Raw genomic sequence first — 15648 nt, forward strand, 5'->3', positions numbered from 1 at the left:
GGCTTATGGAAAGCCATCCCAGATCAGGCCCCCCAACTCTCCAGAACAGGCTACAAACATGCAAATTAGAATTCTTTTAATATAAAAAAAAGTACTAAAATACCCACGTGGTTCTGCTGTGTTATTTGCCCTAAAGGAAGTGAGGGGCAGAGTGAAGAATCCCAGTGCAGCTCAGTGGGCCCAGAAATGGGCCTTTCCGTAGGCTAAGGCGTGCCCACTCCACCTCCACCAGACTTCTATCCCCTCTGCTGTTCCCAGCCCCCAATTCCTGCAGCAGGAAACCCCAGTGGTCTGGCTTTGGCACTGGGAGTAGAAGGCACCTGAAGGGCTGGCTGGGTGAGTGAGGACAGGTGACCTTTAAAAACAAAACGACACCGTGGGGTGGGGAAGCAGGTCATGCAGCTGTGGCAGCTGGCAGGGCCCACTCCTCCATGGCACAGGTGGGCATGGGATGGCCACTTCTCCAGAAGTGAGGAAGCCCAGATCCCAACAGAATACTTTCTCAAAATTGTTTTTGGTACGAAATAAATGGAAAGAAGATATGGGGTGGGGTGCTGTGGAGGCCGGGCCAGCCACCCTCCCCAGACCTTAGATCATAGCGATGCTCTCGGGGGCACAGTTGAGGTGGGTGGAGGTGCTGCTGCTCCCGGAGGACTTGCAGGCCCGGCCAGGGGTAGGCTGCAGTGCAGCCACCAGTGTGTCTGAGGAGACTGCCCCAAACTCGTAGCTGAAGGTGCCATAGAAAATGAGGATATCGATGACACACACCCACTCACACAGGGCTGCCCCATGTTGCAGCTGAGAACTCTCATGGACAAAGAAGACTCCACCTAAAACGAGGCTAAGGAAATGTTCAGTAGGACATACGGAAACCTGGCAACACCCCTTCTGCAGTCTCAGGCCTCACCTCTCCAAAGGGAGAGGTGTTAGTCCTCTCCCCCACATGGCAGTGTTAGGCCTCCACCCCCCATCCTCTTGGGAGGGAGAAAGGTTGAGCTAGAGGATGAGTTCCTGGCTGCCCCGTCCTGAAAGGATACTGAGGACCAGGGTGATAAAGGCGATGACAGCCAGCACACTTCGCAGATAGGCCACAGCCAGGTCCAGCGGGGCGGTGGCCCCTTGGTAGGAGAGAGCACAGTGCAGGCAAACAAAGAGCAGCCCCGCAGGGAAGGCCACGCCAGCTCCAACGTAGTGCAGAGACCTGGCATGATCCACCTGGGCCCAGAGAAGGGCCAGTTGGTGATGTGGCCATGGCCCCACCTCTCCACCCCTCCTTCAATGAATCTCCTCTCTCCCTCTTCCTTCCTCTCCCTCTTTCCAGCCCCAACCTTGAGGTGCCACACTGCAGGCAGCCAGGCCTTGTTAGGTAAAGTTTAAGGTTTGCAGGGGAGAAGGGGAAGCACCTGAAAGTTGCCAACCACCAAGAGGCCCGCAGCGTTGGTGCAGCCTGTGATGAGTGCCGTGGTGTTAACCCAAGAGTGCCGACTCTGCTCCAGGAGCTGCCCGTAGCGCAGGAGGCAGATCAGGGCCACTGGGGGAGGAGAGCACAGTTGAGGCCTTCCTCCAGCCCTGGCCCTGCCCAGCGAGCCTGTCAGCTTCCCCCAGACGCTGTGGTGCTCCTGCCCCTTCTGAGGGGCAGAAAGGAACAGACAGGCGGGTGGTGAACTAGGTTTCCTCAGGCTCCAGCCAGCAGGGTGGCTGTGTGGGAGTCAGCTTTTGGCCTTCAAGGAAGGGGAGAAGCTGCCTCTATTGCCTTAGCCCTTGGTGGGGAGGGCTGCACAGAAGGGCTTCCTGGGCCTTTCTGTGTGGGGATCACTGGGCTGGGCACGCAGGGTCAGGGCTAAGGGTACAACTCACCCATGAAAGCACCCATGTTGCCAATGAGGCTGAAGAGGCAGCTTTCTGGGGGATAGGAGCCACACTTGCTGCGAGGAGGGGGAAGGACAGAGTAAGAGGGGTGCAGGAGGCCCGGGGGGCCCCCATTTTGGCTCACTGGCTCTCCCCTGCTTTACCTGCACCTGCTCCTTAGCAGGCAGGCCACTGATTTATGTGAAGATCCAGGGTCCCTCATGAACAACTGGTTCCAGGCTGGGCCCCCAAAGCAGAGCTCATGTGTGTGAGAGAGAAGGGAGTGCCCAGGAGTGTTCGGGCAACCCTGACACTCTTTGCTGAGCCCTGCGGCTGGTTTGGCTATCCTTGAGCCAGAACACGGGCTGGGCAATCTGAGGGCTCCAGCTTAAATCCAGGTGCCTCCGCTTATTAGCTGTGTGACCTGGATGAGGAAGACTGAGCCTGTTTCCTCACCTATAAAATGGTGAAAACAATACCTGCCTCACTCCTGGGAGGATGAAAAGAGACAATGCATATAAAGCACTCAGCAGAGTGCCTGCCCCACAGTAACTGTCAAGTAGTGTTGTTATTAAGTGGCTCTTAGGATACTTATTGTTCCTGAGACCCAAGGACAGCTCTTTGCTTGAGGGGCTGTCTGGGAGGCCCTTAGATCTCCCTGACCGGCCCAATGTCCAGGCCTTACCTGATGAGGGGGACATCGTCCAGGGTGCAGCAGGTCTTGGGACCCCCTTGCTCAGCAGGGTCAGGAGGGCAGGACTCGTTGTAGGACCTGGCAGGCAGGACAGGGAGTAGACTGGGGGAAGGGACTGCCCCCAGGCCCTTGGCCTATAGCCTCAGGCCTCAAAGAGGACTCTCTCCCAGACCTCCCCTACAGGGACAGAAGATCCCACTCCCCAGTGCCCGCCTGAAGCAGTAACCAAAGGGGCAAAGGGATAGTGGGAAGTGGGTAGGTGGCAAGAAGCCATGCCTGGGGACCAATTTCAGAGAAGAGCAGTGAGGCTCAGGGTTGCAGTCTGGCTCGTGGCAGCCTCAGGCCCAAGAGGGGACAGAGATGAAGGAAGCTTTAGAGCAAGGTTGTCTGCAGAGTCCTTCATACCAGTTCTCCACAGGGCATACATGGTGGTTCATCACAGCCATGGCATACCTGTGGGAACAGAACTGTCACCCTGGCAGCCTTCCCGAGCCCCACTCAACCCACCCCATGACCCTTCTCTTCAACCTTGATTTCTGGCCCCATTCAGCCTCATTATTGTTGCTGGGGACTCAAGTTGAGGTCCCTAAGGCTTGATGCCACACCAGCACCTGCAGCATGCCCCCAGCTACAGGCCCTCTGGAAATTGCCCTGGCTAGAAGTATATTTGTCAGGGCCACCCTGCTGGACAGCAGTGGTGCCAGCTTGTCCCAAGGGGCTGTGTGCCCAGGCACCAAGTCAGGCTTTTGAGACACCCAGAGTGACCCTGGGTACCACCGTGGCTATGACAGGACAAGAGACTTTGTGTGCGTCATCAAGCTCCTGTTGCCCCCCGGGCACCCCCCTTTACTCACACAGTCCATATGCCAGTGATGGAGAACGCTGACAGGCTGACAGGCAGGAGGATCCAGGCGGTCATGAGGGAGGGGAGCCAGGGTGGTGGTGGTGTTGGGGGGAGGACAAGAGGTAGATGGGGAAGTGGGGGCGGACCAGCTACCTTGAGATGTTTCTGCCACAACCATCAGCTGTCCTGGCCTGGTGGAGAGAGATCAAAGTCCAGGAGTGGGTAACTGGCCGGGAAGGGGGAGGGGAAGGGGGTCAACACCTTATCCAGCGCTCCCGTTGGGTCTCTGAGCGTCCAAAGTTTGGGCTGAGCCCACGGCAGAACGTGAACACCCTCTGGCACTGGGGGCCTCCGCGGTCAACCCAAATGCCACCGGCGTGCTGAGAGACGCAGGCGGACCGTAACATCTGGAAGGGAGTTACCCTCCTTCTGAGGGACCAGGGCTGGGAGAAGGGCTGGACAACCGAAGAGGCCACGCCAAGGAGAGGCTGGGTGCCGGCCCAGTGGAGCGGTGGCGAGTCGGCGGCGCGCAGGCAACCACCTGACCATCGGCGCCCTGGGCGAGGGGCGGGTTCACGCGGAAAGCCCAGCCCGGCCCGGCCCCCGCTCGCCTGGGCGCGGGGACCCCGGCTGGGGCCGGACCCTGCGGCCGGCGACCCCCCAGGACCCGGGACGCGAGAGTCCCCAGGTGATTCCTGGAAGCCCGGAGGAAGGGAAGGAGCCCAGTACGCACCTCCCCGGAGCGCCCCGCCGCCGCCGCACCCTGCTCGGCCCCCTCGTGGCGCCGACTCTAGCTGCGGCCCTCGGAGCAGCCCTGAAAGGTTTAAAGGGCCGAGCGGCCCCGCCCCTGGAGGCCCCAGGCCTCGCCGCGCCGCCCGCCGGGACGTGGAGTCCGCGCAGCCCCGGCCTCGGTGCCCGCGCCCTGCCCGAGACTACAACTCCCGAGCCCCCGCGCCCGCGTCACGGGGGAAACGTGGGCGGTGTCCCAACTTCGGAGGACCTGGGCGCGGAGGGCTGTGGCGTGAAGACCGCTCTAAAACCGAGATGACTAGAGGTTCCGTTTAACCGATTCCTGCCGGGGAAGCGTCAGCAGGTGGGGATCTCGGGGCAGCCTGCATTCCAGCTCTACCTGGGATTGTCGCCGTGCACATGGCTGGAGGAGCGTCTCTCCGCCACTGCGCACATTTTGCAGCCTGCACCGGCCAACGGTGAGTCCTCTAGGAAGCTCTCTCAACGTGGCGCCCCATGCCTGCCTCTGGCCAGGGCTGCGGTGGGTCCAGAGAAGCAGACACAAAGACTTGGCTGTTTCTTAAGAAATCCAAGCGCCTGGGATTTGGCTTATGGTTCCTGTGGCTCAGCAAACTCCGGAGGAGGGCTGCTTTCATTAGATACTTTTTGCTTTCCTGCATACAAGTACACAATGTACTAGCCAGAAATCAGTGTCCAAGACGTGTTTCCCGACTGATCAACACTTATTTGAAATAAGACGGCAGAGACCAGAGGACATCCATTCTAAATAGACACATGTAGGTGTCAGTGTAGAGTAGGTAAGGATTAACATGGCCAGTGTTGGTAAGCAAAGAGGGGAAGGTGAGAGACCCGGAGGAATCTGGGAAAAGGAAACAGGATAGTGTGGGAAAAATTACTGACCAGCTTCACCAAAAACTTACAGGCTATGAGTGCATTCCTGGATGTTTCTTTTTTTTTTACTTTTTCTTTTTCTTTTTTTTTTTTTTGAGACGGAGTCTCGCTCTGTCGCCCAGGCTGGAGTGCAGTGGCGCGATCTCGGCTCACTGTAAGCTCCGCCTCACGGGTTCACGCCATTCTCCTGCCTCAGCCTCCCGAGTAGCTGGGAACTACAGGCGCCCGCCACCTCACCCGGCTAATTTTTTTGTATTTTTAGTAGAGACGGGGTTTCACCATGTTAGCCAGGATGGTCTCGATCTCCTGACCTCGTGATCCGCCCGCCTCGGCCTCCCAAAGTGCTGGGATTACAGGCGTGGGCCACTGCGCCTGGCCCGGATGTTTCTTAAATTATTGCAAGGGTGGAAATACTTTCACATATCAGAAGTGTGCCTGGCATTCTGTCTCAAAGGCGGTCCCAGCATCTGTTGGAGCCCTTGTGAGATGACAGATCATCACCTGAATGGTGCACAGGCGCAGGTTGCCCAGCGTGGGGAGCTGAAGTTTGGCAACACTGGTGAGGCAAAGGCTATGTGAAACAACAGGGTCCTGTGCTTTAGAGAAGTAGAGCAGAATAAACTGCACAATGACTTGAAGAGGGAGAAACCTTCTTGGACCCAGTGGAAAGCAGAAATGGAAGCAGAAAACCTGTTGGAGAGCCCTTTTTCTTTTGAGACAGAGTTTCACTTGTTGCCCAGGCTGGAATGCAATGGTGCAATCTCGGCTCACTGTTACCTCTGCCTCCTGTGTTCAAGTGATTCTTGTGCCTCAGCCTCCCGAGTAGCTGGGATTACAGGTGCCTGCCACCATGCCCAGCTAATTTTTTTATATTTTTAGTAGAGACGGGGTTTCACCATGTTGGTCAGGCTGCTCTTGAACTCCTGACCTCAGGTGATCCGCTCGCCTTGGCCTCTCAAAGTGCTGGGATTACAGATGTGAACCACCGTGCCCAGCGGGAGAGCCCTGTCCTTAAACACATTAGGACAAGTAGTTAAAACAGGGCCAAGAAGTATGGCTGTGTAGTGATCACTGTACAAGCACACCTGGCTGAATAAACCAGTGGGGGATAAAATCCAGCTCACCTGCCGCTGGCTATGCTTTGTGCCTCAGGACAAGGGTGTGCTTCCTTGCTAATTGACAGGAACCATCTTCCTGCCCAACTGCATTCCCACTGCGTAGGCACCTTATCTGCCCAATGGGGCTGTGAACCCTAATTGGAAGCTTTGCAATTCTTAACACTATATCTTCTTGAGCTGGGTTTGAGTCCCTATCCAATCAAGATGAAGGCCTGAGAGGACTACTCAAGTTCTAACATGATGTGGGGGCAAGGCATAGTAGTCCAGATCCGGGACATGAGGCAGCTTTTGGCTTAGTATGACAATCTAATAGTTCCTAAAATAGAATTATCCCAGGATGGAGCTCCGTATGACAGAAGGGCTCTTCATAGGTAGTTGGTAGGGGGAATTGTGTATCATGTAAGAAGTAGGACCAGATGTCTTTAAAAAGACCTTCCAACTCTAATGCTACATGAGTCTGTCTAGTTGTTATGTTCCAACAGGGACAGCTCTTAAAATAGTGTGGCAAAGCAAGAGATGAGATTTCCAGTGCTGACTCGGTGGTGGAATGACTTTAGGGCAGGTATTTAACCTCCACTTCCCCAAGTACACAAGTTATTTCACAACTCTTGGCAAAAACAGTGCTGTAAAAATCGTAAGTTTATTTGTTAAAAAAAATACTGTATTTGAAAAGTACCTTCCTTCTGGGATTTTCAAATAATTTGTACACTACATTTTATTCATCTACACATTGGAAATGAGTAAACTGGTGAACATATAGCTTTTTATACATTTAACACAACCAGTGCAAATTCTCCTGCCTCTGAGAAGGCAGAGAAGCCCTTTACTCAGAAGGTCTTCAATTCTAGCATTACTCCAACTCCTAGGGAAATTTCGGGTGGGTGCCTATGGCTGTATGACCATCTGATTCCTCAGGGACAGGACAGGAATTCAGCAAGGGAGCTTAAAATATTTTAAGTAATTGTCAACATTCCATGGTGACTCTCCCCAAAAATCTAGTGGTAGGAAAATAATCTGTACTTATTCCTCTTTCTGCACACAAAGCCCTCATTTAAATTTGTGAGCCTGCTTGGGATCCATTACCTAGCCATTCAGAGATCCTGTCAAATGCACAGCAGATTGGATACTCACCATCCCAAAGGGGTTCCTCCCACCTGGATGGGGCCAATCTCTAGTTGACAGTGCCCCTCAGAGTGCACCATGGAGATGGAATGTCCCTTCCAGAGAGACTTTTACACAGGGAAAAGCATTTGTTGGCTGGGCTCCAACTCTCATTTGGTACAAAAAGCTTTACATTCTTTTCCCTTTTTACATTACATTCTTCAAAGACTTCCGTGCTTGCCAGCTGGATAACAACTCAAGCTCTAGTGTTTACTCTTGCACAGCCCCAAACCCTTGGAAACTCAGCTTCGTTCTATCAGTGACATCACCCATTGTGGCCGAGGAACCACAAAACCTTAAAATACAGGCTTAAATTCAGCAAGCGAAGAACATTCCATATTGAATGGGCATGAGATATGCCTATCAGATTGTGTGTGTGTGCGCGTTTTTTAAAGACAGCCAATTACATCGTATCTAGTCAAATGAGCGGATTCTAAAGCAGCCTGCTGGGATGTTCCACTTAGTCTAATGCTGTTGCCACTGTACGCCACAGCACCGGACAGTGTTCTTTGGGACATCTCTGGGAAATGCTCTGGAACATGCTCCTTGATGGAAAACACTAATTTTTGAAAGAAGTAGATGTCTGGAGGCAGGTCTGGTGAATAAACTGAATAGTACTGCCTTGGACCCCAGCTGAGGGGTGGCAGTAAGCAATGAGGATGGGCTATAAAGCTGTTAACTGGCTAAGGGCCATCCTTGGGCAGGCATTTCAGACACATCTGTAGAGAGGGCAGTAGCATCTCCGATAGGCCAGCTCTGAAGGAAGCTTAATGCTTAATACAGTCACACTGCATAAATTAGCTTAGAATGCTCTCTTGGGTAAAAAATATTAATAGTGTATATGCACTTGAAAAGCAAAATTCCTCAAGAAAAAAAGTTTAATAGCAAGGAGTTTCCATCAGTCCCGGTCTTTGTGAGGATTACCACAACAAACACTTAAAAGGATACAACAGGTACTTATTAAATGCTGCCTTGCCTTTTACCTCTTCCTTTTTTTTTTTTTTTTGAGATGGAGTCTCGCTCTGCTGCCCAGCCTGAAGTGCAGTGGTGTGATCTCGGCTCACTGCAACCTCCGCCTTCCAGGTTTAGGTGATTCTCTTGCCTCGGCCTCCCGAGTAGCTGGGATGGACTACAGGCACATGTCACCATGCCCAGCTAATTTTTTGTATTTTTAGTAGAGACGGGGTTTCTGTGTTAGCCAGGACGGTCTGGATCTCCTGATTTCATGATCCGCCCGCCTCGGCCTCCCTACCTCTTCCTTTACTTAATAAGAATGCGGTCTAAATTTTCAGGTGCCAAGCCCCCAAACTCCTCTTCTAGCCTTCTGAATTGTGTAATAAAACCAGGAAACAGGTGATCCAGCTGTGCGAAAACAGACCTCAAATGTATTTCCAGACTAAAAAGCCAGACTTGCAGTGAAATCCTATGTTCCAAGTCATCAGATCAGTTTAAGGACTAGAAGACTAGAATGACTGACTGGTTCTCTGACCAGGAAGAACAGGGGTGGAGTTTGGGAGAGCCTTCTTGACCCAGGAGGCTTTGGAGGGTAGTTAACATTAGAAGTCAAAAGGCACTTCTAGCCCAGCTGCCTAAGTAGAGGACAAAGACTTTCTCCTTTCAAAGGAGAACTGAGCCCAGGATTGGTAAGTTTAAGGCACTTAACCTTGACCAGCTCTGTAGGTCTGGAGCATTCTGGTCCCTGGCCGCTTTCACCACCAGGCCCTTCTCACTTATCCACCTCACTTACTGCCCCAGCATTCCTTTGGCATTGCGAGCTGTGACTTGACACATTTTAATGACAAGATTGAAGTAGCTACCTTGCAGGATAGATTTTCTGGGGTATAGGGGACAAACCAACAGTGCCATCAGGTGTCTTAACACCCGGATGTGGAGAAACCCCTGGGGCAAGGGCCTATGGTTTCAGGAAATCTCAGTTCTCAAAGGCTTAAAGCCATATTTCAAGGCACTGAGGTTAGGCTGATATGCTGGAAAACAAGTGCCTTGGAACTTCCGTACTGGAGGGGGAGGATGTCTTGTGGAATTCAGACGTAAGCCTAACCCTGCATTAGAAAAAATGTTCACCGGGTTAGAGCAGTGGTATTCCTGGGGATCTTTATGCTAAGGATCTGAGTTACATACTCCTGGGAGGTAGGAGAGAAGGCCTCATTTCATTCCCTCTGGCGTGCTGTCAATCAGGCAATTATTGCTAATATTGACTTTCCCTTTGTAGGTATGTTCAGAACTGTTAAGTCACAACTGGAGAGTAAGTTCCCACTTGTTTATAATTCCCTTTTAGTCTGAGCAGAGGACAGTCTGTTCACGGCTAGGAATCAAGTTGAAAGTTGGAATTCTGTAGCCCTGGCCGAGGCAGGTTTTGCTGTAAGAAATCTTTTCAGTTTAGCACCAACATCTTCCTAGGTTTCCTGTCTAGACAGTGCAAAGCAGTGGAACATGCGAGAAACGAAAAAGCCATGGAAAGGGAGGGAGACATGCTTGCAAATAGGCCTCAAAAATGGAGGTCTCCCACTTTATTGGTATCAGAATTACTTGGAGAGTTTTTTAGAAGGGTAGATCCCCAGGCCCCGCCCCCACCTCCAAAGTCCTGAGCAGCTGGAGGTACACAGTCATTTGGAGGGGGAGGAAAACTGATGGATTCTACCTGAGGCAAAAAGATGAGGGAAAGGAACAAAGAAAAAGGGCTGAAAAAAGGTCTATAAACACATGGGTGGAAATGAGCAAAAGCACAGAAGAAACATAAAATAACAAACGTGGCTCATGGAGCTGAGTGGAACAGCAGCAGCCAGGCATATGACCTCGGTGAGAAAGCACCATGTTGCACGAGGCTTCATAAATTCTGGTTCTCCCTGGAGTCTCTGCTTCTAGAACACATTAGCCACACAAAATCCTCAAAAAAAAAAAAAAAAAAAAAAAAAAAAGAATTCCAGAATATCAGGCTGGGCAAATGGGTCAACATATAAGAAAGAATGACTGCAAGGCAGGCCAGGTGTAGTCCTGCAACACCCTATGGATGCAGCAGCTCTGGGGGTCTCAAGATCAGACAAACTGGTCCTGGTACCCCCACACTAAATTCCCTGGGCAGAATTCTTCCGAGTGCAGTGAATCCAGCCTGGAGAGAACGCCTTCAACATGGTCAGTGTTGGCTCTGGCGCTTTGCAATCTCCTCCTGGATACGCAACTTGAGGGCTTCTCGCATGGGTGGATCCAGAGGCGTGTGTGCCGACACCTTCTCACTCACCTTTCCTGGGTCATCACCCTACGTGGAGGAAGAGTCAGAAGGCTCAGGGCCTGGCCTCTTCCAGAAAGGTGACCTGCCCTGTCCCTAAACACTCTCACAGAACTCCATTTAGCTCAAGGCTTTTTGCCAGCACCTGTCATTTCCTATGTGTCTCCTGTAATAGTGATTCTCCACTGGGGGCCAAGAGCCCTCCCTGTTCCCCTACTGAGAATCACTGTGAGATGGGAGTGAGTTGTGCTCAAAAGCACTGCCCGGCAGGCCTAGACTCACATGTGGAGCAGACGCTTCCCATTGGGGGTCCTGAGGAAAACAGGGCTCAGGGTCTGACAATGATTACTACCATGGCCCAGGACCTTCAGGCTGCAGCTGTTTCCACCAGGCGTACCTGATAGACGATAACTGATGTGACCTCTCCACTGTCTGCCTCGTATTCTAAGCAGAAGAGCTGATGGCCAGAAGGCTCCAGCTCAGAGCCTCCACTACTGCTGCTTTCACCGGACTCTTCATAGTCTGGGTTGCGTGGGTGGGCAGAGACATCTGGAAGGATGAACCACAGTAAGAAAGAAGAGGGGGGGTGCTGCTGAAGGCCCTGTCCATAGAGATGCTGCAGGAAAATATACGGTTAGGAAAGCCCCAGTCTTCTTTTTTTTGAGACGAAGTCTCACTCTGTCGCCCAGGCTGGAGTGCAGTGGTGCAATCTCGGCTCACTGCAACTTCCGCTCCCAGGTTCAAGCGATTCTCCTGCCTCAGCCTCCCGAGTAGCTGGGATTACAGGCAAGTGCCACCACATCCAGCTAATTTTCATATTTTTAGTAGAGATGGGGTTTTACCATGTTGGCCAGGCTGGTCTCAAACTCCTGACCTCAGGTGATCCACCCACCTTGGCCTCCCAAAGTGCTGGGATTACAGGCGTGAGCCACTGCACCCAGCTGCCCCAATCTTCTTATGGGTCCAGTGTAAGTGGTTTTTTTTTTTTTTTTTTTGAGACGGAGTCTTGCTCTGTTGCCCAGGCTGGAGTGCAGTGGCTAAATCTCGGCTCACCGCAACCTCTGCCTCCCAGGTTCAAGCAATTCTCCTTCCTCAGCCTCCCAAGTAGCTGGGATTACAGCCGCCTGCCATCATGCCTGGCTAATTTTTGTATTTTTAGTAGAGATGGGGTTTCACCATGTTGTCCAGGTTAATTTCGAACTCCTGGCCTCAAGGGATCCGCCCACCTCGGCCTCCCAAACTGCTAGGATCACAGGCATGAATCACCGCGCCCGGACCAGTGTAAGCATTTGGTGTGCTGCCAATCAAGGACTTATTTACCTTTGCATCCCTGCTCTGAGGCCAGCACAATCCTGTCACACAGTAGGTACACAATGCACATTTGTCTAGCAAAAAGTACTGGAAAGCAGAAGGGTGGATAGAGCTCTGCCTGGGTTCAAATCCAGGCTCTGCCATTTACTAGCTGAGATCTTGGGCAAGTTGTTTAACCTCTCTGTGCCTGTTTCCTGACTGTGAAACAGACAGAAGCTTTCTTATGAGGTTGTATAAAGACTCAATGAATTAATATACGTAAGATCTAAAAGCACTTTCACTAATGCCTAACAAAGGTAGTGGCACACACCTATAATCCCAGCACTTTGGGAGGCCGATGCGGGCAGATCACCTGAGCTCAGGAGTTCGAGATCAGCCTGGACAACGTGGAGAAACCCCTTCTCTCTCTCTCTTTTTTTTTTTTTTTTGAGACCGAGTCTTGCTGTGTTGCCCAGGCTGGAGTGCAGTGGCGCGATCTCGGCTCACTGCAAGCTCCGCCTCCCGGGTTCACGCCATTCTCCTGCCTCAGCCTCCCGAGTAGCTGGGACTACAGGCGCCCACCACCACGCCCGGCTAATTTTTTGTATTTTTAGTAGAGACGGGGGTTTCACCATGTTAGCCAGGATGGTCTCGATCTCCTGACCTCGTGATCCGCCCGCCTCGGCCTCCCAAAGTGCTGGGATTACAGGCGAGAGCCACCGCGCCCAGCCGGGGAAACCCCTTCTCTACAAGAAATACCAAAATTAACCGGTGTGGTGGCACACGCCTGTGGTCCCAGGTACTCGGGAGGCTAAGGCTGCAGTAAGCCCAGATCGCACCATTGCACTCCAGCCTGGGCGACAGAGACCTAGTCTCAAAAATAAAATAAAAACATTTTAAAAAAAGTAATAATGCTTAACAAAAATTGACCGTCATATATTAACCAGTGTGATCTCTAGGTAGCAGAGAAGCTGGGGAAAGGCCATTTACTGGGTTCATTCCGCAATTATGTGCTGGTCGCTCATCGCTGTGCCAGACTTTCTCTTTGCTAGGTAGCGGAGCACCTTACTAAAATACAGCACGGTGGGGCAAACCGGCAGATAAACTTCTTGCTGGCTCCCCGATACTCTGACAGCGATGCTTAACTGGGGGCTTATGAGTCGTCCCAGTTCTTGGTGAGAATCATTCAGCGGAGATTTGGGAGCGCTGAGGTGGAGGTTCCGGAAAGAGACGAGATGAGCTGAACCTTAGGAGTAAGAAGTGGTTTTTCCCTATAGAGAAGGGGAGTGCGTTGCAGGAAGAGCGCGCGGGCTGGAGGCAGGCGGGGCGGGCGGCCTCACCTCGGTGTCGCGGCAGGTACACCTGCAGGTCTGGCTTGCGGGGCCGCGTCGGCGCGGGCGTGTGCCGCCTCCTCACCTTCTCCTTGGCCGCCTGCTTCACCTTCTTGTCATAGTCGTCCCTGCGGGGAGCCGAGCGGGAGTCAGGGACTGTCGGGCCGGGCCAGGCCAGGCCAGGAGTGGTGGCGGCGGCGGCGCAGGGCGGGGCGGTACCGAGCGATCTGGTTCCGTCGGATATGGTGCACGAAGCCGTGGTTCATGTCCAGCCGCCCCCCAGGCTTGCAGCAGTGCCCCGGCCGGGGATGCGGCCCCGCCTCCATCAGGAGCCGGGGACGCAGAGTCGCCGCCGCCTCGACGGCCCCAACAACAGCCACCCGCCCACAGAGCTCCGCGCCGCCCCTTGCTCAGCTTCCGGCCCCGCATCCTGACTTCCGGTCTGGGAGGCCCCGGCCTGGCCAAGCGATGCAGCGCACGGAGTTTTCGGGTCTGGTCGGGTCGGGTGGAGTAGGGTATGCTTGACTTCCACCCCCCGGACGGAGGGCTTTTGTTTTTGTTTTTTTTTGTTTGTTTTTTCGTAACATATCAATAGGAAACAAGGACTTCGGCTTACAGCTGATACCAGAACCTTCAGAAAAATGCAAATCATCTATAACACAACTCGATGCTTACGGCGGTGCCTTCCCATCTTTTTTCTGGTAATAGGATGCTGTGCAATCCATCGCCATCTGCGTGACTTTGGCTGACTGTGTAACGCTGCCACTTCTCAGTTTCCTCATTAGTAAATGGGAACACCTAGAGCACCTACCTCAAATGGATTGTGAGGCCTTGAAGTGCTCAGGCAGGGCAACAGCGGCGCCCAGGCCGCAGGCGCCGCGAAGGCTCTCCTGGCCCGGCTTGCCTCCTGCTCACGGCGCCGATGGCTTAACTGTCCCCGCGGGAGGACCCAGGGTTTTTGAGGGACCTACGGGTGTATTATTTTCTTTTTTATTTATTTTTCCTTTTTTTTTTCTTTTTGAGAAGGAGTCTCACTCTGTCGCTCAGGCTGGAGTGCATTGGCGTGATTTCGGCTCACTGCAACCTCCGCCTCCCGGGTTCAAGCGATTCTCCTGCCTCAGCCTCCCGAGTAGCTGGGACTACATGCGCGTGCCACCACGCCCGGCTAAGTTTTGTATTTTTGGTAGAGATAAGGTTTCACCACGTTGGCCAGGCTGGTCTCGAACTCCTGACCTCAGGTGATCCGCCTGCCTCGGCCTCCCAAAGTGTTGGGATTGCAGGCATGAGCCACCGTGCCCGGCCCCTTTTTTTTTTTTTTCTATTTTTTCTGACCACTGGGTTCACGTCACAGCGTGTAAAATTCTCAAGTCCTTTTACAAAAGTCAAAATCAGGAATTCATGATTAGGACAGGGACAAACGGCTGGATGCAGTGGCTCATGTCTGTAATTCCAAAACTTTGGGATGCCGAAGTGGGAGTATCGCTGGAGGGAGGAATTTGAGACCAGCCTGGGCAACACAGCGAGACATCGTCTCTACAAGAAAAAAATACATTAAAAAAGAAAGAAAGAGCCGGGCGTGGTGGCTCACGCCTGTAATCCCAGCACTTTGGGAGGCCCAGGCGGGCAGATCAAGAGGTCAGGAGTTCGAGACTAGCCTGGCCAAAATGGTGAAACCCCGTCTCTACTAAAAAAAAATACAAAAAATTAGCTGGGCTTGATGGCCGGTGCTTGTAATCCCAGCTACTTGGGAGGCTGAGGCAGGAGAATCGCTTGAACCCGGGAGGCGGAGGTTGCAGTCAGCCGAGATCGAGCCACTGCAGTCCAACCTCCAAATCAAAAAACAAAAAACAAAAACAAAAAACAGGGACCAATGGTGGTCCAGCCACACGATGGAATATTACTGAGCAATCCAAAGGAAGATCTGTAGCTCAACAACATGGATGGATCATAAAATAAATATGCCCAGTGAAAGAGGCCAGGGACTCTGTATGATTCCATTTATATGAGACTCTAGGAAGTGCAAACTAATCTATAGTGACCGAGAGATCAGTTGATTTTTGTGGGGGTTCTCTGGGAGGAAGAGGATATCTTTGGGGCTGGGTAGATTCTTTAAATTTTTTTTTATTTTTTTATTTTTTTGAGGCAGGATCTCACTGTCGCATAGGTTGGATTGTAGTGGTGCAATCACTGCTCACTGCAGCCTCCACCTCTCAGGCCCAAACGATCCTCCTGCCTCAGCCTCCTGAATAGCATGCCACCATGCCCAGCTAATTTTAAAATTTTTTTGTGGAGATGGGGGGGGTCTCTCTATGTTGCCAAGGCTAGTCTTGAACTCCTGACCTCAAGTGATCCTCCTGCCTCAGGCCTCCCAAAGTGCTGGGATTATAAGTGTGAGCCACCGTACTGGGCCCAGATCCCGTCTCTTGATTGTGGTGATGGCTTCATGGGTGTATATGTTACAGGAAAGGGATCCCTAT

At 52.5% G+C, this 15648-nt stretch overlaps 3 protein-coding genes across 19 annotated transcripts in view, besides 6 other annotated features; 1 reads left to right on the forward strand and 2 right to left on the reverse strand.

Annotated features, from left to right (window-relative positions):
- Positions 1–59: 59 nt before the first annotated feature.
- Positions 60–4211, reverse strand: TMEM150A (transmembrane protein 150A). 11 transcript variants are annotated; one of them, NM_001031738.3, is made up of 8 exons: positions 4120–4211; positions 3397–3577; positions 2948–2995; positions 2534–2620; positions 1858–1925; positions 1404–1531; positions 1038–1215; positions 60–830 (listed from the first exon to the last, which is right to left on the reverse strand). In NM_001031738.3, the coding sequence occupies exons 2-8, from the start codon at positions 3459–3461 to the stop codon at positions 589–591; spliced, it is 816 nt and encodes a 271-aa protein (NP_001026908.1). In that variant the 5' UTR covers positions 3462–3577; positions 4120–4211; the 3' UTR covers positions 60–588. The 11 variants fall into 11 exon arrangements, with proteins under 11 accessions (NP_001026908.1, XP_006711994.1, XP_006711993.1 ...); XM_006711931.4 differs by lacking the exon at positions 4120–4211 and adding an exon at positions 3809–3907; XM_006711930.4 differs by lacking the exon at positions 4120–4211 and adding an exon at positions 3648–3907.
- Positions 3681–3740: a silencer, noted in NCBI's record as "silent region_11705". NCBI's record gives its function as "represses an Ori minimal core promoter by ATAC-STARR-seq in GM12878 lymphoblastoid cells {active_cell/tissue: GM12878}" and the evidence as "EXISTENCE:reporter gene assay evidence [ECO:0000049][PMID:35858748]".
- Positions 3841–4420: a silencer, noted in NCBI's record as "silent region_11706". NCBI's record gives its function as "represses an Ori minimal core promoter by ATAC-STARR-seq in GM12878 lymphoblastoid cells {active_cell/tissue: GM12878}" and the evidence as "EXISTENCE:reporter gene assay evidence [ECO:0000049][PMID:35858748]".
- The window catches only part of USP39 (ubiquitin specific peptidase 39), a 46423-nt gene continuing 35148 nt past the window's right edge, over positions 4374–15648 (forward strand). For 3 of the 5 annotated variants that reach the window (NM_001256727.2, XM_047442988.1, NM_001256728.2), the window contains exon 1: positions 13618–13872. In NM_001256727.2, the coding sequence (NP_001243656.1) occupies positions 13839–13872 (34 nt within the window). In that variant the 5' untranslated portion in view covers positions 13618–13838. Of the gene's footprint in view, positions 4595–13617; positions 13873–15648 lie in introns of those variants that run through there. The other 2 variants (NR_046347.2, XM_006711922.3) reach the window with 1 other exon arrangement.
- On the reverse strand, positions 6767–13579 carry C2orf68 (chromosome 2 open reading frame 68). 3 transcript variants are annotated; one of them, NM_001013649.4, is made up of 4 exons: positions 13391–13579; positions 13181–13299; positions 10948–11099; positions 6767–10580 (listed from the first exon to the last, which is right to left on the reverse strand). In NM_001013649.4, the coding sequence occupies exons 1-4, from the start codon at positions 13495–13497 to the stop codon at positions 10458–10460; spliced, it is 501 nt and encodes a 166-aa protein (NP_001013671.2). In that variant the 5' UTR covers positions 13498–13579; the 3' UTR covers positions 6767–10457. The 3 variants fall into 3 exon arrangements, with proteins under 3 accessions (NP_001013671.2, XP_005264362.1, XP_024308647.1); XM_005264305.5 differs by lacking the exon at positions 6767–10580 and adding an exon at positions 12831–13086 and having other exon boundaries at positions 11013–11099; XM_024452879.2 differs by lacking the exons at positions 6767–10580; positions 10948–11099 and adding an exon at positions 12756–13086.
- Positions 13350–13731: a silencer, noted in NCBI's record as "fragment chr2:85838960-85839341 (GRCh37/hg19 assembly coordinates)". NCBI's record gives its function as "represses an EF-1alpha promoter that drives an FKBP-Casp9 reporter gene in an ReSE screen in K562 erythroleukemia cells {active_cell/tissue: K562}" and the evidence as "EXISTENCE:reporter gene assay evidence [ECO:0000049][PMID:32094911]".
- Positions 13351–13420: a silencer, noted in NCBI's record as "silent region_11707". NCBI's record gives its function as "represses an Ori minimal core promoter by ATAC-STARR-seq in GM12878 lymphoblastoid cells {active_cell/tissue: GM12878}" and the evidence as "EXISTENCE:reporter gene assay evidence [ECO:0000049][PMID:35858748]".
- Positions 13691–13920: an enhancer, noted in NCBI's record as "active region_16134". NCBI's record gives its function as "activates an Ori minimal core promoter by ATAC-STARR-seq in GM12878 lymphoblastoid cells {active_cell/tissue: GM12878}" and the evidence as "EXISTENCE:reporter gene assay evidence [ECO:0000049][PMID:35858748]".
- Positions 13907–14079: a silencer, noted in NCBI's record as "fragment chr2:85839517-85839689 (GRCh37/hg19 assembly coordinates)". NCBI's record gives its function as "represses an EF-1alpha promoter that drives an FKBP-Casp9 reporter gene in an ReSE screen in K562 erythroleukemia cells {active_cell/tissue: K562}" and the evidence as "EXISTENCE:reporter gene assay evidence [ECO:0000049][PMID:32094911]".

This window comes from Homo sapiens, chromosome 2 (genome assembly GCF_000001405.40).
Source record: "Homo sapiens chromosome 2, GRCh38.p14 Primary Assembly".
In the NCBI taxonomy this organism is placed as follows: Eukaryota; Metazoa; Chordata; class Mammalia; order Primates; family Hominidae; genus Homo; species Homo sapiens.